Source organism: Homo sapiens, chromosome 6 (assembly GCF_000001405.40).
Source record: "Homo sapiens chromosome 6, GRCh38.p14 Primary Assembly".
Lineage (NCBI taxonomy): Eukaryota > Metazoa > Chordata > Mammalia > Primates > Hominidae > Homo > Homo sapiens.
The window spans coordinates 8,411,022-8,436,983 of record NC_000006.12 but is presented as its reverse complement, the minus strand read 5'-3'; the positions used below and the strand labels follow the sequence as shown (position 1 = coordinate 8,436,983).

Genomic DNA, 25,962 nt, shown 5'->3' with positions numbered 1-25,962 from the left:
ATCACTCCAGCTGCTGAATGCAACTATGTAGAGAAATAAAGGGAATGCAGAAAGCTATGCTCACGGCTACTGCAATTGTCCAGGCATGAGCAGATGGTACCTTGTAACACCTCTTGTACCTTAAGTTGTTTTATACTGCCATTTACTTTCTCATGGAAACCCCTAATTTCTTCAGGACAGGGAGCTCATACGCATAGTTTACGATATGAGCTATACATATGCCCATTTAATAAATACTTGATAAATAACCACCATATAAATGGCTAACAGTAGTACTAAATTCACATTATACAGTGACGATATGGCATCACTGAAAGGTTTTGTCATTTACTATCTCTTTAGGAAATTTAAGTTCTCTAAGCCTTAATTCCAACATTCCTAAGTGTTGCTAACACCAGCCTAACAACGTTGGCAAGTATTAAACGAAAATGTCTACCCAGACCTTTTTTTCTCACCACCAAAGTAGGTGCCTTGCTTTCTTACAAACCCTCGATCCCAATACAAGACACAAATGCTACCCTTTCTGAAGAGTGCCTGTAAAATTTTAAAAGTTGTCCATAACTGACTGGATTCTAACATACATATTAATCCAATTCATCCCTTTCTGGTATTCAAGGCATGCTTTCAAAAATTGTCCATCTTCGTTACAGTAATATTTTCCTTAATTATTCTCTGAAAACAGCTCATCCCCAAACCGTCTTGGTTTTTACGTTATTACATCTCAGTGGTGATGGATGAGGCCCTAAACGCGGGGAAAACCTTTTACAAAAGTTTTGATGGCTGGTCCTCAAGCTTTGAGATTTACCTTCCAAGAATTAAGCAGCACTATCGAAACAATGCTGGCAACATTTTTATGAGGTTGCAAGGACCACGGTTGCTGCAGCTACAGGATGAGTTATAACGTCAGAAGCAACCCAAGCGTTACTTCAGGCCCATCTTCACCGGAGAAGCCCGTATGAATCAGGCAAAAACATAAAAACAGGTTCTGTGACTTTGCCGTATCTCATTTAGATCAAGTAGCACGCAGAAGGAAGACAAGGATTTTAAAATCTGGCTCCAACATTCTCCACTTGGTCGCGTTCTCAAATCTCAGCCCAGGGCCGCTGACGTAAAGTCGCCTCTCTCGTGGGCACCACGGGCTCGAGGGTAGCCGGCAGCTGAAACCCGAGGGGCTTCAGAGGCTTGGAGGCCAGGAGCAGGCAGAGCGCCGATGGGATAATGAGATTCTCCAGCAGATCGGCGCTCACCGACCTACTCCATTTCAGTGGGTAGAGGTAAAGGCTGAAAGGCGACCCTCGCACCGCCCGGCCCACCTAGGCAGTGCCGGCCTAGCGTCTCTACCCCATAGAGCATGCGCGGGAGGTAACGGCCCGCCCGCCACCGGCCACACAGGCCTGTCGGGAGGCGGGGCCACGCGTCTGCGCACGCGCGCAGGGACACATAGGCGGAAGTGGCCTGCGGGCGCCGGAGTTGAGAGTGCTTTCCGGGGAGGCGACCGCCGCGGTGGAAAGTGCAGGAGTGGGCGAGGAGGAGGAGGAAGAGGAGGTGATGGCGACGGACCAGGGGAGGGGGAGATGCTCCGTCTAGCTCAGACGCCACGCAGGCTGCCGTCACCCTTCCGGGTGACATACCGGCCTTGGGGTACGCGTGCCTTCGGGGCCTTTCCTGTGTTTGGGACCCAGATCTCCTCTCCTCCAGAAAACCTTGACACTGCCCATCTTCCTCATCCAGAAGGAGCGTTCGAGGAATGGATGAGGTCGGGATGGAAGAAACGGGTGATTCCCTTTTTTGAAAGAGCGGAAACCGGCCGGGCGGTTTCCAGGGAGGAGCATCTGTTCCTCCTCGCCCGTTTTTCGCCCTCGGGCTGGCGAGAACTCCCTCAGGTCCCAATCCGTGGACTCGCAGGGGTGAGGTGACCTCAAGGGGTCTTTTACGCTGTTCTCGGGGTCTCTGGAGAACTGTCAGTCACCTGGATACCTCTAGACTGTATTTACAGTTAACTGTTTCCTCGTTCCGTGTTTATTAAATAGGGGCACTCCAAGGTACTCTTTTCTCCATTTGGCTTGCAGTAGAATGTGATTGTTCTGGCTGGGCTATTAAGTTTATGGCATAAACTTCCACTAGAAGTTCTGCAAGTTTCCTCCAGTCTTTGCAACTGAATTATCTCTCCCGTCTTTTTATTATTTAAGGAATATTGAAAGTAAAAGATGGAATGATTTGGTGCGCTAACAAAATCTTAAGTGTTGAGTATCTGCATTTTTTCTACATTAGGATATCAGAAGCCTAGAATTGTTTTTTGATTAAACGTTTTTCTAAGTGAATTGAGATAGTTTGGAACTTGGAAGAGAGGCAGCATTTCAAAATAATTTAGACAGCGTTATTTTTACTTAATTACTTAATATATAAAGTCCTAGTGTTAACTTTTTCTCTTGGAAAAAAAAAAGAATAGTCTTCAAACATTAGCACAGGGTTTCTCCACCTTTGTGTAATGATGTGTGTACAAAGAAATGAGATGGAACTTTGTTTTTTCTGTTTTATAATCGTACACCATAGGCCATGATTGATTCCGGAGCGCAGTTAATCAAGGCATAATGGCATGGTAAGATTCTTTTATTTGTAACGTTGAGTGTGGCAAAGTATAGTTAAAATCACGTTTTTTCAGGTTAATGACACCGTAATGACTTTTTTTTCATATTCTACCTTTTTTTGGTGTGGGACTTTTGTCCTTCAGGTCGGAAAACTCAAAAATAAACTGAAATAATTGTGACTTCAATAGGTCATTGTAACTCAACATTATCACTAATTTTAATTTTTAAATATACATTGTATGCCGGAAATGCTACCTTTTTATTCCATTTTAGCAGTTGAAGTTGAATATCTGTGTTGAATTTAGGAAGAGGCCTCAGGCAATTATACACACCTGTGATTTTTAAAATATATATATATATATTTTAGTTTCACTGATTACTGTGAGCTTCAAAAGCAAAGCACAATGTTGATCATTTAGTCTGAAAACTAATTTTAATTCCATGCTTCATTTTTGCTCCTTGCATCACAAGGAGTTTGGCCCATTTTTTTTTTTAGATGATGGTTAGTATCAGTCATTAATGTTTGAAGTGGAAGGGATATGGCAGACATTCCCCAATGATCACAGTTATTAGGTATCAGAGGTCTTTATCAGTCACACTTTCTCACCAGTGATGTTCTTATTAATAAAACAGCATTCTAAATGCAAGGCTTTGGTGGGCAAGTTTTATGAGACTGATGCCTCAGGCAGAGGAAACAAATTTATTTTCATGTTCATTTCAAATGTTTTGTGGGGAGTTTCAGTAGCAATGTCGGTATTTTGGCATACATGTAGAAAAGACAGTGCTAGAGAGATTTCATTCTGCACATATGGCCTAGATCTGCAGCACATAAAGTTGCCAAGAAGTGTATTAGAAGTGGTAAAGTGTTGGAAAGGAGCTGAATAACGTTGATTAAATAAATGGTGCTTGCTAAACTGTGGTAGAGTCCTTCATTTAATCTTACATTTTTGTTATGTGCCAGAACATCATAGGAAGATATCTCTTGCCTTAAGGATTTCATAGGCTTTTAGGAGAAACAAGTATAAAAACGAAAAAGCTATACCATTATCATTTAGGAATTTGAAAAATATGTATAATATGATTGAGTCCAGGACATCAACTCGTTTTTAACTTCGAGGCCTTATTCATGGATGCAGCATGATCAGACTTCACGTTGAGCCATGTGACAGATGGGTCAGAAAGGGAAGAATTGATTATAAACAGTCTCGTAATCTAGGCAAGAGAAAATGGCTGCCTGATGGAGTAGGGTCCGAAACAGATATTAGATATAGTTATAGAGGTAGAGTTAACAGGAATCTTGGCAAAATATAGAATGTGAGGAAAAGGAAAGATTCTTAAGATGACTCCCAGATTTTTAGCTTGTGTTTCATACTAGGTACTGTTAAGTGAGATTGGGAATATAGGAACAAACAGTAGATTTGTTTTGAGGGGAAAATAATCAGCTTTGGCCATTTTAAATATGAAGTGCCAGCAGAGCTTATGAGTAGAGGTATCAAAGAAGCATTTAGACGTAGAGCTCTGGATCTCAGGAGAGAAGGCAGCGTTGGAAATTCAGGTCTGTATTTCCAGCTGCACATCAAAGGGGTGAGTCAGCTTGAGCACACCATATCACCCTAGCAATATTTCTAAAAAGTTGAAGGATGACAGCTAACACACTTATGGACTGTCATATGCCAGGCAATTTTACATTTATTTCATATAGTCCTAACCAAAATCCTGTGATAGGCACATTTTTAACTCCTCCCACTTTTGAAGGTGCAGAACCTAAAGCTCAGAAAAGTTAAACGATTTGCCCAAGGCTCCTCAGCTAATAAGTAGTAAAGCCAGATCTTGAACTCATATCTGTCAAAATTCCAAAGCATGGGGAAAGCATTATGCTATACTGCTTTCTTATACTATTACCTATAATTGTATTGAGTCATTACAATATGCTTGGCAGTTTACTAAATTACAAACATCTCAGAAGAAGGTGACTTTGGGAAAGCGTGACCTTCTGGAGAAATGTTTTGATGCCAATAAAAGCAGGAAAGAAAGATATTTTCTAGAAGTTTTATTTATTCTGTATGTATGTGTAAATATGTAAGCATTATTTGTAAATTTTCCCCACTCTTTTTCTATAAGATTTTCAGTTTTGCTCATAAAGTTTGCCAGTACCACCATCCATTTCAAAAATCGTATCCAAGCAGAAGGTGAGTGATTGCAAGCTGAAGTTTGAGGGTATCAAGAGGAAGGATCAGTTTATTTGGTTCATCTGAATATCAGGTCAGAGTATATGCCAGGTACCAAGGACACAGAGACAAATAAGATTTGAATCTTGCCTTTCAAGTTCTCTTTTCTAATAACTGGGGGGATTAGTGATGGTGTCACAAAGGAGGGGATATTAAAGCTGAACTTCCAAACCTGACCTTGAGAAAGAAGACCTCAGGCTGAAAGGACATCATGAACAGAAGGCAGCGGTGTTTTAAAGTCCCTGGTGTATTTCAGGAATGAAACATGGGTGGTTTAGGGCTTTATTGAGAGTGGAGGGAGAGCAAACTTAGAAACCTATGTAAGGCCGGGTTTATTTGAATGGTGCACTATATCCATGCTCACACATAGAAAAGAGTAAATTGTTAAGGTTTTCGTCTCTTCTACATTCAAGCACAGGTTTGACCAAATATTTAGGAGAGATAATTTAAAGCATGGTTTTAAAAGAAAGTCACATCTCAAAGATACCCTGCAAGATTACATAAAAAGTCTTACAAATGACAGTGATTGAAACATAATGTGGGAAGCAAGAACAAAGGAAAGTGAAGAATAAACAAGAGGAACACAGTAAACTTCATGAAACAACTTTTCTATTTAGAAATAAGGCAGGTGCCCTATAAAATGTTGTGGTGGCTGCATATTTTTAGTTACAAGTGGTATTCAGATCCTTGACCCCTCCTTTAATTCCTAAGGATGACCTGGTTAACCTCTGTAAATTAGCAAACTAGAAGTGATCATGAAGAGGCGACTCTAATTTTGGCCATTTTAAGCCATCTTGTAACAGTTTAAAAAAACATTACCAAAGGAAAACTCACTGTCAAAATTATTCTTATTTCTCTTCGTGCCGCAGAGTTTAAATTTTTGTTCCCACTGGAATTAAAAACAGATGAGTCGTTTCTAAGAAAATAACTTTTTCTTTTACATAGGTTTATTCTATACTTTGTCATAATTCTTCAGTCTTTCCTCAGTCTTTACATGGAGTTCATTTTTTCAGTTTATATAAATCCAAAGAGAAATTGATGGCTTCATAATTTTTTTTAGACTGACAAAAAATGACATGTTTTCTCCAGCCTTTTACATCCCAGAAGAATGTAAATTAAAATGATTTGTTCCAGAGGAAGAAAACATTTTTTAACCTAAGAGATGCTACTGCTGAAGCATATTGTGCTTTCTGTAGTCTCTGATAAATCTAGCTTTTTAAGGACCTTAGGTTTGGGGTTTCTTTGTTTTGTTTTTTTCATTTATTTTCTAGAGACAGGGTCTGGCTCTGTCGCCCAGGCTGGAGTGCAGGGGTGCAATCATAGATTACTGCAGCCTCAAACTCCTGGACTCAAGTGATCATCCTGCCTCAGCCTCCCAAGTAGCTAGGACTACAGGCATGCACCACCATGTCCAGCTAATTTTTTTATTTTATTTTATTTTATTTTATTTGGTAGAGAGAGGGTCTTGCTATGTTGCCCAGGCTGGTCTTGAACTCCTGGTCTCAAGCAACCTCTCTGCTTCAGCCTCCCAAAATGTTGGGATTACAGGCATGAGCCACCACACCTGGCCTTCATTTTTTTAGTTTATTTTTTAAATGTCATTAGCAAATATATCTTAGAATTGTCTTAGTATTTAAAGGAGAATTACTTATTTTTTACTCCTCTACAAGTGAAGATTGACTTTAATGTTGAGAATGTTATGCATCAACTATATATAGACACAAAGACATGTTTAGTTCTTTGATGAAATAACTAGCTTTTGTTGCTGTGGAAATAAGTATGGTTTATATTCAGTTTAATGATGTACTAATCTTTATCAGCTGTAGACAAATTGTTTAAAGATTGTAGGCATATTGTTTTTGGTGATTTGGAACCTAGAATACAGGAATTAATATACTAATATCCAGAGAGAAGCAGACATTTGTATAACTTTAAAGTATGATTTGGAATATTATTTGGAGGATTAAACTTTATCATGTAAATGTTTTAATTGCTTATTTCCTTCTCTAGGACTTGACACAGCAAGCAAAAGACATACAGAACATAACAGTCCAGGAAACCAACAAAAATAACTCTGAAAGCATTGAATGCAGCAAAATAACAATGGATCTCAAGTTCAACAATTCCAGGAAATATATTTCTATCACTGTGCCATCCAAAACCCAAACAATGTCACCACACATCAAGTCAGTTGACGACGTTGTGGTACTTGGCATGAATCTCAGCAAGTTTAACAAACTTACTCAGTTTTTCATATGTGTTGCTGGAGTTTTTGTATTTTACCTAATTTATGGGTATTTACAGGTAAAAAAGTTATATGTTTGTAATATGTTAATTATTTATAATAATTGCGGTCAGTATGGGCATTTACTAGTTTTGCCCAAGATAGTCACTTAGGGGATACTGGCTGATTCATAAATTTGAATTTTTTAGTATAGAGTAGAAAAGAGCTTCTTAACAGATCAAAATTCAAGAGTTAAATAATTTAAGTGGGGAGGAGGCATATGTAGAGACTATCTTGAAAAATTTTCATTATGAAAATTAAGTTTTAAATATTTAACAAAATGTGTGCTTCCAAGAGAAAGCAATGATTCACGTATTGATTGGTATCTTGGAATATTATTGAATGATAGTGCAGTTTACTTGATTCTTGGAGCTCAATAATAAAAGATCATTTTTGCAAAAATGTATCAGGATATTTTATGGTTTTCTAAAGGTATCTCTTTAATCCTATAATATTTGAATTATTTCTTTTTTAAACACCTCTTATATTCTCATTCTTATTGGTTTTGTCTTCTAACTTTGCCAGAATCTTATTGTTCTGTGATTTTTTGCTGGCACAAAACATTTCTGATACTGCAACAATTTGTCTTATATTTACATTATATTTGGAAAAGTTATATACCTTTGGCTAGGAGCAGATTTCTGACCTTCAAAGACATGGGCTGGATGGGTGAGGATCCAGGCTAGTGAAAACAGGATGTTGGAATGGGTTCTAATTTTATGAATGGTCATTTAATTAGTGGATATTTTCCCATAACTTGAGAAAACCTTTGTAATTCAAGGAAAGGAAAATGATGTATTTTCTTAAAACACAGATATTTCCAGTATTCTTTAGTACTAAAAAGTTAGTGAATTTAAAAATTGTTGTATTCTTTTTCATTGTCTTGTAGAGATGATCATCAAGGGAAATGTAAGTGAACATGGAATTGTGACTGTTTTTTAGTTAGCTTGCAAGAATGCTATGAACAATATTAATGTAAAACAAAAATGAATTAAAAATTTTAATATTTATAATAACTGATATTCCACTAGTAGGTGATATAAAACTTGAGATGCCACAATGAAGAACAATTAAAAATAGAGATTAGAATTTCTTGTTGAGAAACATTTTAGAAACATTTTTTTCTTCAGCATACCACTGTTACCAAATAGCTTGGGAACAGAGTTAGCCATTGCAATGGAAAATGAATTTGAAATTCACCCTGTAAGTGTCATTAAATAAATTTTCTCTAATTAATAATCAGATATTTTAGTTTATAATTGGTTTATGCAAAGTTTTTTAAATTACACAAACCCCTGCTAATTGTATTTATAACTTAACCACTTTGATTTTGTAAAAACTGACATTGCTACTATTACTTATAATTACATATCAAAATAGTTCAGAGAAAATGGTTGGGGTTTGGTAATGAAGTGTTTTTTATAGATGTATGCATATTCATACATACACTTCATTTATTCAATTTGATTTATTGATCAATTTGACTTATTCAATTAAAATTAAACCAGATAACTATTAGAATAACTCTTAGTGACTTGTTAAGAATGGCTTATTAATAACTGATATAAATATTGCTTTATAATATAACATGTTTAGGCAAATTAACCATTTCCTCTAAAAGAAGAAGGTTTATATCATCTATGGCACAAGAATTTCAAAAAATAACATTACCAATATGAAAGAGCTTCTAACCTCTCTAATTTACATTTTGTTGTTGTTGGAGGTGGGGCTTGGTTTCTTTAAAAATGTTGTGTTTCTAAGAATTTATTTTTAGGAAATTAGTGTGCTGCCTTGGACTTAACAGTGTTCATGTGTCTTTTGACAGGAATTAATATTTTCAGTGGAGGGTTTTAAGTCCTGTGGCTGGTACCTTACCTTAGTGCAGTTTGCCTTTTACTCCATATTTGGCCTAATAGAACTTCAGCTTATTCAGGACAAAAGGAGGAGGTATGTGGTTTGTTTTTATTTTTTGATATTTCTATATTAGTTGAATTTTTTTGGCATACTGAATATGCATGAAATTTATACTTCTATTAACAAAACATGTGATAGGCACGAACTCTTAGTGTAACTAACTTAATACTAAATACATTTTATTCATTTATACACTGAAAAAAATAAAGTCTTAAATGCAGTATTACAAAATAAAAAAATATTAGCTTTAGGCTCAACTTAGTGTTATATGTTCTTACAACATGATAAAAAACACAATGTACATACTTGATTTGTATAAATTCTGCTGAAATAGGTGCAGTTACTGATTTGTAGTACAACTAACATCACAGTGGTGAAATGAAATATCAGTACAGGTTGAGCATCCTAATCCAAAAATCCTAAATCCAGAAATGCTCCAAAATTAGAAAAGTTTTGAGTGCCAATGTGACACAAGTGGAAACTTCCAAACATAAGTACTTAACACAAATTTTGTTTTGTGCACAAAATGATATAAAATGTGCACCATGACCAGCTCTGGGACAGCTGGGATGCAGGGCACCAAGTTCTTAAGCTGCACACAGCATAGTGACCTTGGGTGCAGCCCACAAAACCTTTCTTTCCTCCTAGGCTTCCTGGCCTGTGATGGGAGTGGCTGCCATGAAGACCCATGACATGCTCTAGAGACATTTTCCCCATTGTCTTGGGGATTAACATTCAGATCCTTGTTAGGCAAATTTCTGCACCCAGCTTGAATTTCTCCTCAAAAAATGGGTTTTTCTTTTCTACTGCATCGTCAGGTTGCAAATTTTCTGAACCGTTTTCCTCTGTTTCCGTTTTAAAATGGAATGCTTTCAACAGCACCCAATTACCTTTTGAAGGCTTTGCTGCTTAGAAATTTCTTCCACCAGATACACTAAATCATCTCAAAGTTCCATAGATCTCTAGGGCAGGGGCAAAATGCCACCAGTCTCTTTGCTAAAACATAACAAGAGTCACCTTTGCTCTAGTTCCCAACAAGTTCCTCATGTCCATCTGAGACCACCTCAGTCTGAACCTTATTGTTCATATCACTATCAGCTTTTTTGCCAAAGCCATTCAACAAGTCTCTAGGTGGTTCCAAACTGTCCTACATTTTCCTGTCTTCTTCTGAGCCCTCCAAACTCTTCCAGCCTCTGCCTGATACCCAGTTCCAAAGTTGCTTCCACATTTTTGGGTCTCATTTCAGCAACATCTCACTCCTGGTACCAATTTACTGTTATTAGTCCGTTTTCATGCTGCTGATAAAGACATACCCGAGACTGGGAAGAAAAAGAAGTTTAATTGAACTTACAGTTCCACATGGCTTGGGAGGCCTCAGAATCATGGCAGGAGTCAAAAGTCACTTCTTACATGGTGGTGGCAAGAGAAAATGAGGAAGATGCAAAAGCGGAAACCCCTGATAAAACCATCAGATCTTGTGAGACTTATTCACTACCATGAGAACAATATGGGGGAAACCACCCCCATGATTCAAATTACCTCCCACTGGGTCCCTCCCACAACAGATGAAAATTATGGGAGTACAATTCCAGATGAGATTTGAGTGGTGACACAGCGCCAAACCATATCAAAAATGTTCTATAAAATTACCTTCAGGTTATGTGTATAATGTATATATGAAACATAAATAAATCTCATATTAAGACCTGTGTCCCATTCCCCAAGATACCTTACTATGCAGATGCAAATATTCCAAAACCTGAAAAAAATCGAAATTTGAAACACTCTGGTCGCCAGCATTTTGGATGAGGGATACCAAGTCTGTATCTATTGTTATTCTGCTTTTTTAGAATGTGAAGTTATATTTTGTGGGATATGCCCCAGCTAACATTGCCATATGATGTCCGATAGCTGAGGTTGCGTTCTTAAGCATTAGAGAAACAAATCTCATTCCTTTTCATCAAGACCAAATGTGCTTGTTTGACAATATCATTTCAGGTAGCAACCATCTAGATTTGAGAAATATCTTGATATATCTTTAATGGCATCTAGAACAATATGCAATAAAACTTAGTCTCTGATTATAAACAGAAAGTGGTTAGGAATTTGAATATAAAATGTTCTTGGTTAATGTAAGAAGCGTGCTCCTTCTGTCGTACCCTAATGTGTGTATATATCGTGTATCTATTGGGCAGTTTAAATGTAATAACGACTGTAATACTGACATACCTTGATACAAATGTTTAATCCTTTAGTGAAGATTTCAAAAATTGTGCAGCTTTTTTTTTAATCATAAAATGGTGTTGAAGTTTGTATCAAGGTAACTACAGTTTTACATATTTAAATCTATATTACAGGTTTCTTCATGGGTCTAATTTTGCCTCTCAACCTGTCTTTATTGCCAATAAATTATTGTAGCAATTATTGTAAAAATATTTGAACCTTAGAATATCATCTTCATTATTTTTATGTTCTATCATGATTCTCCATGATAGAATCATGGAGGCAAGCTGATGAAATCCAACTTCCTCATTTTACCAATGAGAAAACAAAGACCTAGAGGAGTACTGGGAATAGCCATAGGTGATAGAATAGGTAATTAAATATATCTGTCAAGACTAATATATAAGGAAGCTTGATGATGATTTACTACTTATTACAAACTACTGGGCCTTCTAAGGTAAGATTGCTTCTAAGGTAAAAGACACTAATACTATCTTTGTAGGTGAAAAATGATACAATGATGATGCATGTTCTGTTACATTTCAGAAAGAAACACCTCCCTATCAGCTACCCCGATGAGAGGGGAGGGGGCCTCAAGCCATGTTTATCCCAACTTTTAAATCACGTGACCATAACATATTTTAAAATAAAATAATTTGTACTTGATTTAAATATAAGTGAAATAATTTGGGAGAATAATTTATGTATTTATAATAAATGTAATTATGAATTGAAACCTTTCTGAATTTATTTCTGCAAATACACCCATATCTGAATTTATTTAATGGTACTGCTACTCGTTAGACCTTTAATTAGCTAAACTCTTTGCTGTTGTTATTTTTTTCTTCTTCCCACATTTATGTGAATACCGACATACTGGAATAAGTACATCAATACTCGTTGAGAATTTGGAGTTAGAAACATGGGTTTGGGTCTTGGCACTTGGGTCTTATTACATCTGTCAAGACCTCAGAGAAGTTTCTATAATACTCTAAATTTTATCTTGAGGCTCATATGTGGTAATGCGTGCTAAAGTACATCATAAACTGTAATATCCTAAATATACTGCTTATTATTTTTCATCAAAGAATACCTTGTAACATTATTATTAATTAGTATAAGTTTCTAATTAAGGAGAGTGCTCAGATTTGTCTTGAAGAGGTTTTTAAAGTTAAAATTTTCTCCCCGGCCAGGTGCAGTGGCTCACGCCTGTAATCCTAGCACTTTGGGAGGCCGAGGCAGGTTGATCACCTGAGGTTAGGAGTTCGAGACCAGCCTGGCCAACATGGTGAAACCCCGTCTCTACTAAAAATATAAAATTAGCTGGACATGGTGGCGGGCACTTGTAATCCTAGCTACTCAGGAGGTCAGGAGGCTGAGGCAGGAGAATGGTTTGAACCTGGGAGGCGGAGGTTGCAGTGAGCCAAGATGGCGCCACTGCACTCCAGCCTGGGCAACAAGAGCGAGACTCCGTCTCAAAAAAAAAATTTTCTCCCCATTTCTAAGGAAGCAAGCAATTGATGTATTAAATAAAATAGAAATAGTGAGTATCCTGGAGGCAAGCTGATCAAATCTAATTTCTTCATTATACCAATGAGAAAACAAAGACCTAGAGGACTGCTCAGAATTTTTTGAGCTCCTTTTGGAGCTACTTTTGGATTTAGTTCCCCTGTCAGGCTGGTTTTCTTTCTACCTGTACTGTGCTACTTTTCTACTCATTCCTTGTAATTCTTCTGACTTGAATTTTTATTTTCTGCCAATGATTTGCCATTTATCTTTGAGAAAATCTGACCACCTTGACTTGTATCATTTTACCTGGCGAAGTGGTGCTCCACCATCACTGATGATATCCCAATGAGGGTCAAACCCCATGGATGGCATGAACGCATTTACACTGATGCATATGGGCATGCCAAGTTGTTTCCACGTGGATTTTCATGGTTAACTACTATATTAGTAGTTAAGTAGAAAAAAACCCCTCAGAATCGAATGTAAATGATGCATTTTAATTGACTTTTTCCAGTAAATTATTTTACCTTATATCTAACCATATATAAGATGAGAAATTTTGTTGCCTTGATTTCAATGTGAACACAAATTCTAAAATGGAAATTACATCTAACTCTCCAGCATTATCAGTATGAATAGTGCCTGATTGTGTCTGTGTTCGTCATACCAGTAGACAAGATTATTAGTTTAGACCATTAAATATCTAGTCAAAGTGAGCATATGCTCACAGTAATGGCTCAAAATTCTGAAGATGCTAAATTAAGAATCTCCTTTAGGAACTTTAGATAGAGCCAAAGTTAAAAGACTTGAAATCATGAGAGAGTCAGATACCTCATCTTAAAAGTTGATTATTATAACATAGAATATAGAGAGATGATCTATAAGATATTATAATAAAAATTACATCTAGGGTTTTAAATCACATGAACTTTTCCTAGAGAAAATCTTGGGTTATTTTAGCAGAATGGATAGATGTATTTTTCCTAATGCTAGATGGAAACATTAGGAAACAGAACAACAATTCAAGAGTTAAAAATTAGTTTTAAAATGTTAAGGTACCTTTTACCATTATGGAGGCCAACATTAGCTGGGCATGGTGGCGCACACCTGTAGTCCCAGCTACTCAGGAGGCTGAGGCAAAAGAATTTCTTGAACCCGTGAGGCAGAGGTTGCACTTAGCTGAGATCATGCCACTGCACTCCAGCCTAGGCAACAGAGCGAGACCTTATCTCAAGCAAACAACAACAAAAGAAGCTCTTTTTCTCTAACTTAAGATGGTTAAGATGGTTTTTATTTGTGGCTAGAACTGCTGTTAAAAAAAAAAAAAAAACCTTTTGTCAACATTTATACCTTCAGTAAAAATCTAAACTCTTTTTTACATAATTGAGTGGCCTCGTTTATGATTGACTAAATAAAGGTAAATTGTTATTTTTATAAACTTTTTTATACAAGAGCATTACAGTTTTTAAATAGTGATATTTTTTACTGATATTTCCAGAAATAGTAACCAGAAATTAGAAAAGTAATTAGACATTTACACAATGTGAACACATTATCTTTTAGTAGTATGAATTGGGTCCCAAAATGAAGGTTTTAAAAATTGTCTTTTACAGAATACCAGGAAAAACCTACATGATAATAGCTTTTCTAACTGTGGGTACTATGGGGTTATCAAACACTTCCTTGGGCTACCTGAATTACCCTACCCAAGTCATCTTCAAGTGCTGCAAATTGATTCCTGTTATGCTAGGAGGAGTTTTTATTCAAGGTATAGTAATGATATGTTTTTATACTATTTAAAACTAATAGGCTATGTTATGGCATCTAGCATTAGGAAAAACATTAAACTTCTATTACATTTTCAATGAGCATTCTAGATATTGTAACAATTCTGAATTATGTCTTACCAAAATAAGGTATTCTAAAAACACTGATGGCCAGGCACAGTGGCTCACGCCTGTAATCCCAGCACTGTGGGATGCCAAGGTGGGCAGATCACAAGGTCAGGAGTTCGAGACCAGCCTGGCCAATATGGTGAAACCCTGTCTCTACTAAAAATACAAAAATTAGCTAGGCATGGTGGTGTATCCATGTAGTCTCAGCTACTTGGGAGGCTGAGGCAGACGAATTGCTTGAACCCAGGAGGCAGAGGTTGCAGTGAGCCGAGGTCACACCACTGCACTCCAGCCTGGGCGACAGAGCGAGACTCCATCTCAAAACAAACAAACAAACAAACAAACAAACACTTATATGCCTTAGTTTCTGAAGTCAGTAATTTGGACTTAAGAAAAAGAAAAGATAATACTTTGTTTTTATTATTTTATTTTGGAATCTACCACATTTCCAGCAATACTATATTTACGTATTAAAGGTCTAGTTCAAAAGTACGTGGAAAGGTCCCTTTTTTCAGTTCCTTCATTCTTCTACTCTCCAGGGGTCTACCCTTCACTTCCATTGTGCATGGGCAGTTCTCATATTGAAGTAAAGTTTAATCTGAGCAGAACTGCGTTTTTACCAACCTGCTGGCTTTAGTGATGTTTAGAGCCCCAGCTAAGTGACAAGTTTTGTGGAAATACGAGTAAAAGAGGAGGCAGTGATAGCAACAAACAGTGGAAGTAGCTTCTGTTGTTCACATTAATTGTCACGAGGAATATTCGTGTTTTAATAGTCGGGTGTTTCTGTATCACTGAAGTTCTTATACAGCCTGATATCATTTATGCATTAGATACCATCCCAGAATAAGCCTTTAAAAATGAAAGTGTTGTCAACTACTTCACGTATCATTTCAGGATAACTTCATATAGGAAAAAATAATTGACCTCAATCCCTATTAAAAATCACATTTATTGTCCCAACTGACTAGGCATATATAATATTGTCGTTATAAACCTTACAAAAAAGTCATACTACATTTTATTTTTAAAATAATGATATATGAAAATAATTTAATTTTCACCTGCCTGGAAGTTATCACATTATGATATTTGCAAACTTAAACAGTTATGTAACCAGACTCATTAATCTGGTTACTTCGTAAATTTACAAACTACGAGAAAATTCATAACCTTTTATTATGCACAAAGTAAAACAGGAACTAAATTTCCAGGAAATTTTTTAAATGTTTGTGGATGTGCATTATTCTTGCTGTCAGTTTTTGCCAAAGTATGTATTTTAGTGTCACTATTATACCAGATAAAGTAGCTCTCGTTTCTAACTTACAGGGACATATTGCTGCCCATTGGTAGTTTTCAGAAGCCCTCTTGTGACTGTCTTCTGCCTTGACCTAAGTGTTCACGTTTTTGGCATTGGATATAAAAAAACAAATCCATGTTCTACTTAACACATAGAGCAAATATAAAGCTGGGTGGGTATTTGCATAATGAAGTGGACTTACGTTTGTTTTATACAGGAAAGCGTTATAATGTTGCAGATGTGTCTGCTGCCATATGTATGAGCCTTGGCCTGATATGGTTTACCCTCGCTGACAGCACAACTGCACCAAATTTCAACCTGACGGGTAAGTAATTTATTTATATTCCTAGCTTTTATAGGCTTTTTAGTTTAGAATACGAATTTCGAATATTTTGTAAGCATTTTAAATGATAGTGTGACAGCTGCAATTTTCATATCTAACATAAAGCTTTTGGACTTTCCATATAAGATGTAGTGAAAATATCACAGCTCTGTAGATAAAACAATTTGTTTGTTTTTTAGTGTGCATGCATTTTGATGCTTCTCAGGAATGAAGTGTTGACTCAGATTTGTTTATGTCAGTTGTACCTTTATTATAATTATGTCGTAACTCAGTATTACGTTATTCAAAAATGAATATGAACAAATAATTGTTTTTGTGAAAACTGAGTTAACTGACACAACTTGATTGACAAGCAATAAAATCACTATTGAATGAGGTGTGGGTAAAACCACTGTGAATATTGGAGGGAAGCTCATAAACATATGAAAGGATTCTGTACTCTGCAGGGCACTTTTAAACAAAAACACCTTGGAAATCATGGAAAATGTGTGCTGAGTGTGTTTATACAAAGGAGAAAATATGGAATTCTATTCAGGACCCATGCTCAAAGAAAAAGGCCCTGACAGCAGCGTGCCTGTTTATGTGATTTAAATTAAACATTTTAGTAATAATAGGGTTTTTCAAAAATGACTTTTCTCTTCATCTGTTTTTTTTTTTTTTAATTAACTGAATAGCCACCAATCCCAATAGATAGATATCCTAAGAGTTTCTTCTACACTTTCAGAACTAGTGGAACTATTAGACTAGTAGAATATTTATGGAACTGTTATTTAATACGCTATTGAAATGTGAAATGTGATATGTACAGAACTAACTCAGTTTATTAGTATATCTTTTTTAATATCATCACATATGTACTTGTTACAACCGATTGTGAATAAGAATATTCTGGATTACCGAACAAATGTAGTTGAAGATCTGCTTTTGTTTTTTAGACCAATGAAATTTCTGATAAAGCTTGATTATAGTTCATATGTTTAAATAAGGAGGGTTTTTTTGTTTGTTTTTTTAATACCTTCTTGAAGGTGTGGTGCTTATTTCCCTGGCACTATGTGCAGATGCCGTCATTGGAAATGTTCAAGAGAAAGCTATGAAACTTCATAATGCTTCTAATTCTGAAATGGTAAATACTCTAGTGTTTTTTCTTCAAATTAGACAGATTTAAAAAATGGTGATACACGTAATTTGATGAAATAATTATTATAACTAGCATTGCATTTTTAAACTCATTTTTACAAAAGTAATACATTCAAACATTATAGGAAGGTAAAAACTAAAACTACAACTAGCAGTGCTAACCGCTTGTTGCATAGTTGACAAATTTTTTCCTCATTGATTTAGTTTTTTATGTATTAAAATAAAATCTTTTGTTATATCCTTTCTCTCATCTCTTTCTAGTGGGTAGTATTTTTCCATGTAGAAGTTTGTAATTTTTATATGGCCCAATTTGTCTTTTCCTTGCTGGCTTCTGGCTAAGTATCATGGTTGAAAAGAGCTTTCCTAACCCTGAGATTTAGAACATTTCATCCCTGTTGCCTACTAGTTTTGTGATTTCCTTTTTTATTAAGCCCTTGATCCAATCTAAAACTTTTTTAAAAGAACTTTTCTTTCAAATGACTACCATTTTTTCTAATATCATTTATTGAATAATCCACTTTCAGCTCATTTTAAATGCCCTCTTTATCATATCACACTCTTGTGTGGCATTCAGAATTGTATTTGAATTTATTTTTGCAATAGTACATATAATGACAGCAGCTTTATCAGACATTTATTATCTGTTAGGACTAGCTACCATTGTTCCTTTTCTTTTGCAGAATATTACTACCAGTAGTTATTCTGGGGTGTTTATATTCCCAAATAAACTAAAAATCCCATTGGTATTGTGATTGGTATGGCATTGAATTATAAATTAATTTAGGGAGAATGGCATCTTGATTATTTCAGTCCAAGAATAAGGTATGACTTTTCTTTTACTCAAGTGGTCTTTTTTTCAATGTCCATTAGAGTTTAAAGTTTTCTTCATGTAAATCCAGCACATTTCTTATTAAAGGTATTGTTAATAATAACTTATTAAAGTTATTTCATCTTTTTGTGGTTATTGCAAATAATATCTTTCTGTATCTCTTGTAACTGTTTTTTTTTTTTGCAAGTAGTGTCTTTTTGTATATCTTGTAACTGGTTTTTATATAGGAAAATTATGTGTGTGTATGTGTGTGTGTGTGTGTGTGTTTACATTAATTTTATAACCAACCACCTTGCTGGACAGAAAGAGCATACTGAATTAAGGATAGACAGGACTATTCTTTCCTGTTATTTTCTTGACACAGAATGGGGCAACTTAGGTAGTCTCTAATAACACAGGAACTTGGTTAAGAATTTTCTTCATCATAATCACTACTCATTGTAGATAAGGTAAGGATGGGCACAGAGAGAATTGAGGGAGTGTAGGTTGTTAGAAAGTTAATATAATGCAGTGTTTATGATGGTAGGCTCTGGAATAAGATAGCTCAGTTCATATCCTGGCTTTACTAGCACTCATTTGGGGAAAATTACTTAATATCTCTAAGTTATAGTTTCTTCATCTGGAAATTGGATTATGATAACTAAGAATACCCATATCTAGGGTGGTTGTGAGAAGTAAATGGAATAATCCGTACCGAGCTTCAACACAGTACCTGACACACAGCAGATATTTAGGTTTGCTGCTGCTGCTGCTGCTGCTGATTCTGTTTATGAAAAGCATAGTAAATTGGGATTAAAAGGTTGGTTGGAAAATAGAGAAGTTAAGCAGTAGATATGCCATATGCTGCTTATTTTCATTATATTTTAATGTATTTTAGAAACTTAATTTTTTTATGTTTTATAAGTATCTTTAAAGCTTTTTGTTTTGTTTCATTTATTTTTTTTAGAACTCTAATATGAAAATCTGGTTGATTTCAATAATTAAGCCTAGAAAGAAATGAATATGTAAGCATATATGAAAGGATTAATATTACTAGGTGTTATTTTGTACATAAAATGAGGCATAGACTTATAAAACATTAGAATCAAATAACATTTCTGGAAATTTAGGCCATATTGAAATTATAATGTTTCTTTTAAAATGTTTGTTCTGCAAACCTAATTGAGCCATAGAGTTAAAACCCTTAATCTTCCATTTTCAGTTTCATAGTACTTTTTTCTGCTTTATTTTTATCTGCTCTAGGTATTGTATTCGTATTCAATTGGTTTTGTATACATTTTACTGGGATTGACATGCACTAGTGGATTAGGCCCTGCAGTAACATTTTGTGCAAAGGTAAACACTAATCACATTTAAAAAAAAAAATCTTCTGTTAAATAATTTTCTCTAAATTTCTCATTTCCCTTGTTCAAAAGAGGCTATCATAGATATAATGATACCTCCTTTAACATAACATGCCAATCGGAAATTAATTTCAGAAATGAAATGACTGATATTTAAATTTATTTTATCCTTGCTGTACCCTATGAGTTGATTTTTAAGCTGTTCATAATGTAGGAAAGTTGAGGATCTTTAATTTCAACATTTTTTTTTCATTAAATCAAAATAAGAATCTTTGCTTGACTGCATTGTCAAACAACTTATTGCTCAAGAAGTTGATTAACATCTGTAGTTTTATTTTATTTGTAATACCTCGGAGTTTGTTTTACATTTTTCTAACAGGCTTTTTTATTTTTTGCAGAATCCAGTTCGGACCTATGGTTATGCGTTCCTTTTTTCCCTCACTGGATATTTTGGAATCTCCTTTGTTCTGGCTTTGATTAAAATTTTTGGTGCACTTATTGCTGTAACAGGTAGGAGGGATTTACTTGCTTTGATTATAAAATAAGCATTTACATTTTCTCTGATGCTCTTTTTCAAAACATAAGGGCAACATCTCCTTTATATTAAAAAGAAAATTATCATATTTCACCAATTTATTCTTTGGCTTATGGTGTTTCTTTAGAATTCTAAAGAAAATGTTGTTTGATCTTAATTTCTTATTTTGATGGTTTAATTTTAAAATCAAACATATACATTTATCAGAACAGTAACCCTTAAACGCATTAAAAGAACTTTCTATAAAATTATGATGAGATGACGACCTCCAAAGAAAGTACTGCCTTTATATGCTTTTAACCTGTAACTGAAACTTTCAGTTTTGTTGCATTTCAAGTATGAGAGGTACACTTTAAATAAGCTTTTTAGGCCTTTCATTTGTACATTTTCTAGGACATCAACCAGATTAGCTTCCCTTTTCACCAATAAGCACTATGCACCTGCTGTGTGCAGGGTCTTTGCTTGGCCCTGTAGAAAAATCAGTTGTATTTGTTCTGCTTTGGAGGAGTGTATAGCCTAGTGAGGGGAACAGATGAGTCAATGTGCCACCTGTGTCATCTGCCAAAACTCTAAGGCACAGCTTTTGCCTTAGAGGTACAGGCAGGAGTTTTCCTCTCTCACGTAAAAGAAAGCCAGAGCTGGCAATAATCATAGCTAATGCATACATAGCCCTAGTATGTACCAGACACCATTATTTTAATCTCACAGCAGTCCTATAAATTAGGCACTATGATTATTCCATTTTACAGATGGATAAACTGAGGCACGGGGAGGTTAAGTGACTTGTCTCATAGTCAACCAGAGCCAGGTTCCAGTGATGGCAGTCTGGCTGCACACCTGTGCTCTTCACCATACATTATACTGCCTCTAAGCTGGTATGGTGACTCCATGGTCATGAGAAACCCATGTTCTTTCTGTCCACTGTGCCATCTTCATCCTCATGCTATGCAGTGGGATGGAGTAAGAGAAGATGAAAATCCTAAAAGCCATACTCCGAGAAACAGCACTTCTGCTCACATTTCACCATAGCCTAGACACATGACCACACCTAGTAGCAGGAGAAGAGGGAACATATACCCAACTCAAAATAGGGGTCCTTTTACTATAGAAAGAAAAAAACAGACATTTGGAATCTGACTCTGGCACGTTTCCAGAACAGCTTCTTCCTTTGGAATTCATTCATTCATGCATAAATTACTAAGTGCCAGGAACTGTAGAGTCTTGGAATATACAGATGAATAAGGCAAGAAACTAAGTAAAGCACATAGTCAAGTGGGAAGATGGCAACCGATAGTGCAGTGAGGAGGAAAGTACTGTCATGGAGATCTATGCAGATCTCCCCACTCTGCCTGGGACAGAAGGGAGGAAGGCTTCCAGCGTTACAGCAGACTTCAAAGTGTAGTACTTCAAAGGACAGGGAAAAGTTAATACAGTTGCGTAAAGAAGATTGTAATGGTTACTTATAGTCTTATCCAGAGATGACCCCTATTAAGATATGAGTATATCCTTTAGATTACTGTTTCTAAAGAATAACCCCTGCCTCTAGCTAATCATAGCTTCCATAGGAAAGCCTTTCTCTAAGACTTAAACTGTGGCTTCGTAATACCATAGCCTCCATCAAGTACTTACTACAGTTGTACTTTAACATTTAACTGTATTAATTATTTAATGTCTGTTTCCCTACAAGACTAAACTCCATAGTAACAGGGAACAGTGACTTTTGTGCGTGTGTTTGGTTGGTTGGTTTCTACTTTCCATTGTCACCTTGGCACCTCAACAGATTCTGGCATATAGTCAGGTCTAAATATTTGCTGAATAAGTGATTTCTAAAATATTGTCAAGATAATAGGCACATTCTAAACTAATTTTTTGCTCCTACAGTGACAACAGGAAGAAAAGCAATGACCATTGTACTTTCGTTTATATTCTTTGCTAAACCATTCACGTTTCAGTAAGTACTTCTTAATTAAACAATTTTTCTCAGTTTTTAGATACTGTGTTTCACATTTCCTCTTAATCTTAATTTCAACTTTTCTACTTTTTCTTTTTTGTAGTAAGTGTATTTATTTTTATATAAATTAATGTGGTTTTTTTTCCTGTTATGCTTTATAAAGAAACCTTTTCATCTTGATCTCTTAACTATCAGTGTGTCTTCTGCTATTTTGGAAATGTTGGTAATTTATTATTTTGAATTTATCATTTTGTATACTTAAATTGCCTAACCAGAGTCCAGTGCAAATGTGACCTGTTTCCATTATGAGTGAATATGAGTGATGTGTACGTTGTTGAGATTAAGGGATTCCCCTTTGCCCTACTGCAAATATGTAAATTATGTATTTACATCACATGCTTTAAAAAAATACTAGTTTATTTGATGCCTGTTTCCACAAAGGATTTAAGGTAGAGAAATATTCTGTAAGTTACATCCTAAAGACTTTAAACTAAGCTTTTATTTTTTGTGTGTGTGAAAGTGTTTACTATCATATTTACTGTCTTTACTATTTGTTTGACATTAGCACCATTTAAACTTATATTGGTCAGGATTGTGAAGTTTCAAACCCAGAACTTAACAATCTATAAGTTTGGAGGGAAACATAAAATTAATTTCCATCAATATATTACAGATTATTATTTGTCTATAAACTAGTTTTTCTTTCTGTATGTACTAGGTATAATACATAATAGTGTTATGTCATACATAAATATAATTATAATGATTCCCCTACTTTCTCAGGGATGTTTCTCTTTTTATTCCTTTATATTCTACCCAACTGAGACAACGAGTTGGACAGCTGAGTTTAATTACCAAAATGGCCTTTGGTAGATATACATGTCCAAAGCTTTAAGTGTACTTTTACGACTTTTGGTAGGGGACTGTACTTTGAATATACTGTTATCCCCAAAGTTCAAATGAACTATGTCATATAAAATTTTGTAAAATATCTTTCTTTATATCTACTCAATGCATTATTAAAAGATACAGAATTCTATCAAATCTCATCTAAGAATACTATTTTTATTTTAATGCTATTATTGTAGGCTTCTAATAGAATTTTACTTCACTGAAGAATTATTATGGACATATTAACAAATTCTGTGGTTAATAGTAAATTGTTATTTTGCTAATTTTAATTTTTTTTCCTTATTTCTTTCTCTTAGGTATGTATGGTCTGGTTTGTTAGTTGTCCTTGGTATATTTCTTAATGTTTACAGCAAAAATATGGATAAAATAAGACTACCATCACTGTATGATTTGATAAACAAATCAGTGGAAGCAAGAAAGTCAAGGACGCTGGCACAGACTGTATAGACAGTGATTGTCCTATTTAAAATAGAATTTTAAGGGAACAATCATCAATTAATTAACTTTCCAAAGGGACTGATAAAAACCAAAGGATCTGGAGGCATTGCTATCCCATTTGTGGACAGATTTCATATGAAGTTGTTTTGCGGTGTCAGCCTTTTCTTCAGAGCATTTGTTTGACTGACTTCCAAAGCAATCAAGAGAGCCACGTCTAGCAGACTTTACAATAAAATGTCAATATGAAGGACTGTAATTCCTAGCAGTTTATTGAGAATTTCACTGGAAATGGACCATGTGTTGCAAGACTAATTGGCTATAATTATATCCTATCAAAGAAATCGATACGTAATAGCAGATTGTTTTATATTCATTCCATTTTGATGGTGTTATTTAAATTGATTCTCTGTTATAAGAGTAAACTGATGAGTTGAAGTCTGGAGAGAATAACATTCATTATAAATAAAATTATTCTGTGATCTTTTTTCAAGATGTGTTAATAGAATTTTGTTATAAAGAGAGAAATGGAAGTTGGAGTAAGGCTTAACATGAACTTTAAAACTTGAGTTTTCTCTGATTTAAAATTATTCTTTAGAGCAGGAGCTCCCAACCACCCAGGCCGTGGACTGGTACCAGTCCGTGGCCTGTTAGGAACCAGACCACGCAACAAGAGGTGAGAGGCTGACAAGTGAGCATTACCATCTGAGCTCCACTTCCTGTCAGATCAGCAGCAGCGTTAGATTCTCATAGCAGCGGGAACCCTGTTATGAACCGCATATGCAAGGGGTTTGGGTTGTACACTCCTTTTGAGAATCTAATGCCTGATGATCTGAAGTGGAACAGTTTCATAGTTTTATCCTGAAACCATCCCCTGTCCCAGTCCATGGAAAAATTGTCTTCCACGAAACTAGTCCCTACTGCCAAAAGGGTTGGGGACCACTGATTTAGAGAAGACATGCTTTAAGTTTTATGTAGAATATAGGCAAGGTAGTAAAAACAGACATCATTCTGCATCATGTAAGTATGTGTAGTAAGAAAAATTTGCTACAGTTTGCCCAAGTAATCCCAAAGGAATCATGATTGGATTTTTTTTAATTGAAGAAAAAGTAATTGATGTCTCAAAATTATAATAAAATAATTATAAAATTATCCTAGTTTTTTCCATAAAAGTAAGATTTAATTTGGAAGTTTGAGGACAAAATAGGATAAATTTAAGAAACACAAGTAGAGTTAGCAAATTTGGACAATATTTTCCGCCTTAGCACATTCAGGCTGCTATATAAAATACCATAAGTGGGTAGCTCATAAACAATGGAAATTTATTTCCCACAGTTCTGATGTCTGGAAGTCCAAGATGGAGGTGCTGGCAGATTTGGTGAGAGCCTGCTTTCTGGTTCACAGAAGGAGCCTTCTCATTATGTCCTTATATGATGAAGGGCCAAACAAGCTCCCTTGGGTGCTAATCCCATTTTCAAGGACTCTGCCCTCATGACCTTATCACCTCCCAAAAGGCCCCACCACTTAATACAATCACTTTGGGAGTTAGGATTTCAACAAATGAATCTCAGGGGGACACAAACATTCAGACCATAGGAATGTTGCATGCATAGTTTTGAGTCTAAATTCAAAGATTTGGGCACTTATTTTTAGCAGTGATTTTTAGAATTGCTTCTATTGTATTTTTTAAAAATACTGTTATTCTTCGTTTTCAATATAAATAATACTGGTTTAAAAAGCTTAGTGCTCTTGGGGACACTGTTTATATTTTGTGAGTATAATATACTTGGAATAGTTAATCTCATTCTTAAAATTCCATTGTATTCTGATGGCTATTTAATCTGTTATGTGCATATGCAGGTACAACAGAGCCTGTATCATGGAGGGGTCCAGCATGAGGAATTCGGACTGGTTTTCATTTGCCCATTTGCTGAAATACAGCCATTGTTTTTTCCCAAGTGGTAATCATTTAAAATTTTTCCTGGCTTAAGATAGACGGGATCTTAATGCATACTTCATTATGCTGCCTTAAACTTTTAAGAAGAAAAGGATTTGTACTTGAAAGAAAAACTTGTCAACTTTCTCAAATCTTTGATAAAATATAAATTTGACTTATCAAAGCCTTATTTTGCCTCTACACTTTCCTAATATTTTACCTCTGTCTCCCTATTACCAACATCATTCCACCCTCCAATTTTAAACAATTCAGCACTGTTTAAAAATCACTAGTTGCCAGTCATACCCTTTAAACTCCATTTCTTTTGTCATTTGCCATTAGATGGAAGTAAACTTTACCTCACTTATTTGTAATGAATAGTCTGAAATGTGGAATGATTTCTGTAGTAAAGAAATCAACATTTGAAAGTATACTGAGAATGGAGGCCTTATGAATGGGATTAGCGCCTTTATAAAATAGACCCCAGAGAGCTCTCTTGCCCTCTTTACACCATGTGATGATACAAGAAGTCAGTAGTCTGCAACCCCGAAGAGAGCCCTCACCTGAACATAACCATGATGGCACCCTGATCTTGGACTTCCA

At 35.5% G+C, this 25,962-nt stretch overlaps 1 protein-coding gene and 1 long non-coding RNA gene across 30 annotated transcripts in view, besides 8 other annotated features; one reads left to right on the top strand and one right to left on the bottom strand.

Moving 5' to 3' along the window:
- Window positions 1-1,361, bottom strand: part of LOC100506207 (uncharacterized) — a 349,823-nt gene extending 348,462 nt beyond the window's left edge. For both annotated transcript variants that reach the window (NR_038980.1, NR_038979.1), the window contains exon 1: window positions 806-1,361. This is a non-coding gene — a long non-coding RNA (uncharacterized LOC100506207). The remainder of the gene's footprint in view (window positions 1-805) is intronic.
- Window positions 1,042-1,131: an enhancer, noted in NCBI's record as "active region_23962". NCBI's record gives its function as "activates an Ori minimal core promoter by ATAC-STARR-seq in GM12878 lymphoblastoid cells {active_cell/tissue: GM12878}" and the evidence as "EXISTENCE:reporter gene assay evidence [ECO:0000049][PMID:35858748]".
- Window positions 1,158-1,699: an enhancer, noted in NCBI's record as "H3K27ac hESC enhancer chr6:8435518-8436059 (GRCh37/hg19 assembly coordinates)". NCBI's record gives its function as "activates a minimal SCP1, AML or CMV promoter by ChIP-STARR-seq in naive H9 embryonic stem cells {active_cell/tissue: H9 hESC(naive)}" and the evidence as "EXISTENCE:reporter gene assay evidence [ECO:0000049][PMID:30033119]".
- Window positions 1,158-1,811: a biological region, named in NCBI's record as "H3K27ac hESC enhancer GRCh37_chr6:8435518-8436059".
- Window positions 1,212-1,291: an enhancer, noted in NCBI's record as "active region_23961". NCBI's record gives its function as "activates an Ori minimal core promoter by ATAC-STARR-seq in GM12878 lymphoblastoid cells {active_cell/tissue: GM12878}" and the evidence as "EXISTENCE:reporter gene assay evidence [ECO:0000049][PMID:35858748]".
- Window positions 1,232-1,401: an enhancer, noted in NCBI's record as "experimental_96097 CRE fragment used in MPRA reporter constructs". NCBI's record gives its function as "activates a minimal promoter by MPRAs in K562 erythroleukemia cells, with activity observed for both the introgressed and non-introgressed 6:8435901 variant alleles {active_cell/tissue: K562}" and the evidence as "EXISTENCE:reporter gene assay evidence [ECO:0000049][PMID:34662402]".
- On the top strand, window positions 1,417-25,549 carry SLC35B3 (solute carrier family 35 member B3). Of its 28 annotated transcripts, none has more exons than NR_163441.1 (12): window positions 1,417-1,641; window positions 2,554-2,599; window positions 6,827-7,120; window positions 8,926-9,047; window positions 14,360-14,514; window positions 16,156-16,263; window positions 17,307-17,404; window positions 18,099-18,240; window positions 19,490-19,582; window positions 19,989-20,100; window positions 22,007-22,076; window positions 23,285-23,917. NR_163441.1 is itself a non-coding variant. In XM_011514648.2 (12 exons), the coding sequence occupies exons 4-12, from the start codon at window positions 6,920-6,922 to the stop codon at window positions 23,433-23,435; spliced, it is 1,110 nt and encodes a 369-aa protein (XP_011512950.1). In that variant the 5' UTR covers window positions 1,417-1,641; window positions 2,554-2,599; window positions 4,710-4,777; window positions 6,827-6,919; the 3' UTR covers window positions 23,436-25,549. The 28 variants fall into 28 exon arrangements, 23 of the variants coding, with proteins under 23 accessions (XP_011512950.1, XP_016866401.1, NP_001357406.1 ...); XM_011514648.2 differs by lacking the exon at window positions 18,099-18,240 and adding an exon at window positions 4,710-4,777 and having other exon boundaries at window positions 23,285-25,549; NR_109913.2 differs by having other exon boundaries at window positions 1,439-1,756; window positions 23,285-25,549.
- Window positions 1,602-1,661: an enhancer, noted in NCBI's record as "active region_23960". NCBI's record gives its function as "activates an Ori minimal core promoter by ATAC-STARR-seq in GM12878 lymphoblastoid cells {active_cell/tissue: GM12878}" and the evidence as "EXISTENCE:reporter gene assay evidence [ECO:0000049][PMID:35858748]".
- Window positions 1,672-1,811: an enhancer, noted in NCBI's record as "active region_23959". NCBI's record gives its function as "activates an Ori minimal core promoter by ATAC-STARR-seq in GM12878 lymphoblastoid cells {active_cell/tissue: GM12878}" and the evidence as "EXISTENCE:reporter gene assay evidence [ECO:0000049][PMID:35858748]".
- Window positions 4,262-4,431: an enhancer, noted in NCBI's record as "experimental_96094 CRE fragment used in MPRA reporter constructs". NCBI's record gives its function as "activates a minimal promoter by MPRAs in K562 erythroleukemia cells, with activity observed for the introgressed 6:8432871 variant allele {active_cell/tissue: K562}" and the evidence as "EXISTENCE:reporter gene assay evidence [ECO:0000049][PMID:34662402]".
- Window positions 25,550-25,962: the final 413 nt, after the last annotated feature.

Bases quoted from the DNA above. Each gene is read 5' to 3' on its own strand.
- SLC35B3 (XM_047418840.1), top strand. From the start codon at position 1,575: ATGCTCCGTCTAGCTCAGACGCCACGCAGGCTGCCGTCACCCTTCCGG. The intron at 9,048-14,359 runs GTATGTGGTTTG...TGTCTTTTACAG, and splicing joins ATTCAGGACAAAAGGAGGAG to AATACCAGGAAAAACCTACA. The intron at 22,077-23,284 runs GTAAGTACTTCT...TCTTTCTCTTAG, and splicing joins GCTAAACCATTCACGTTTCA to GTATGTATGGTCTGGTTTGT.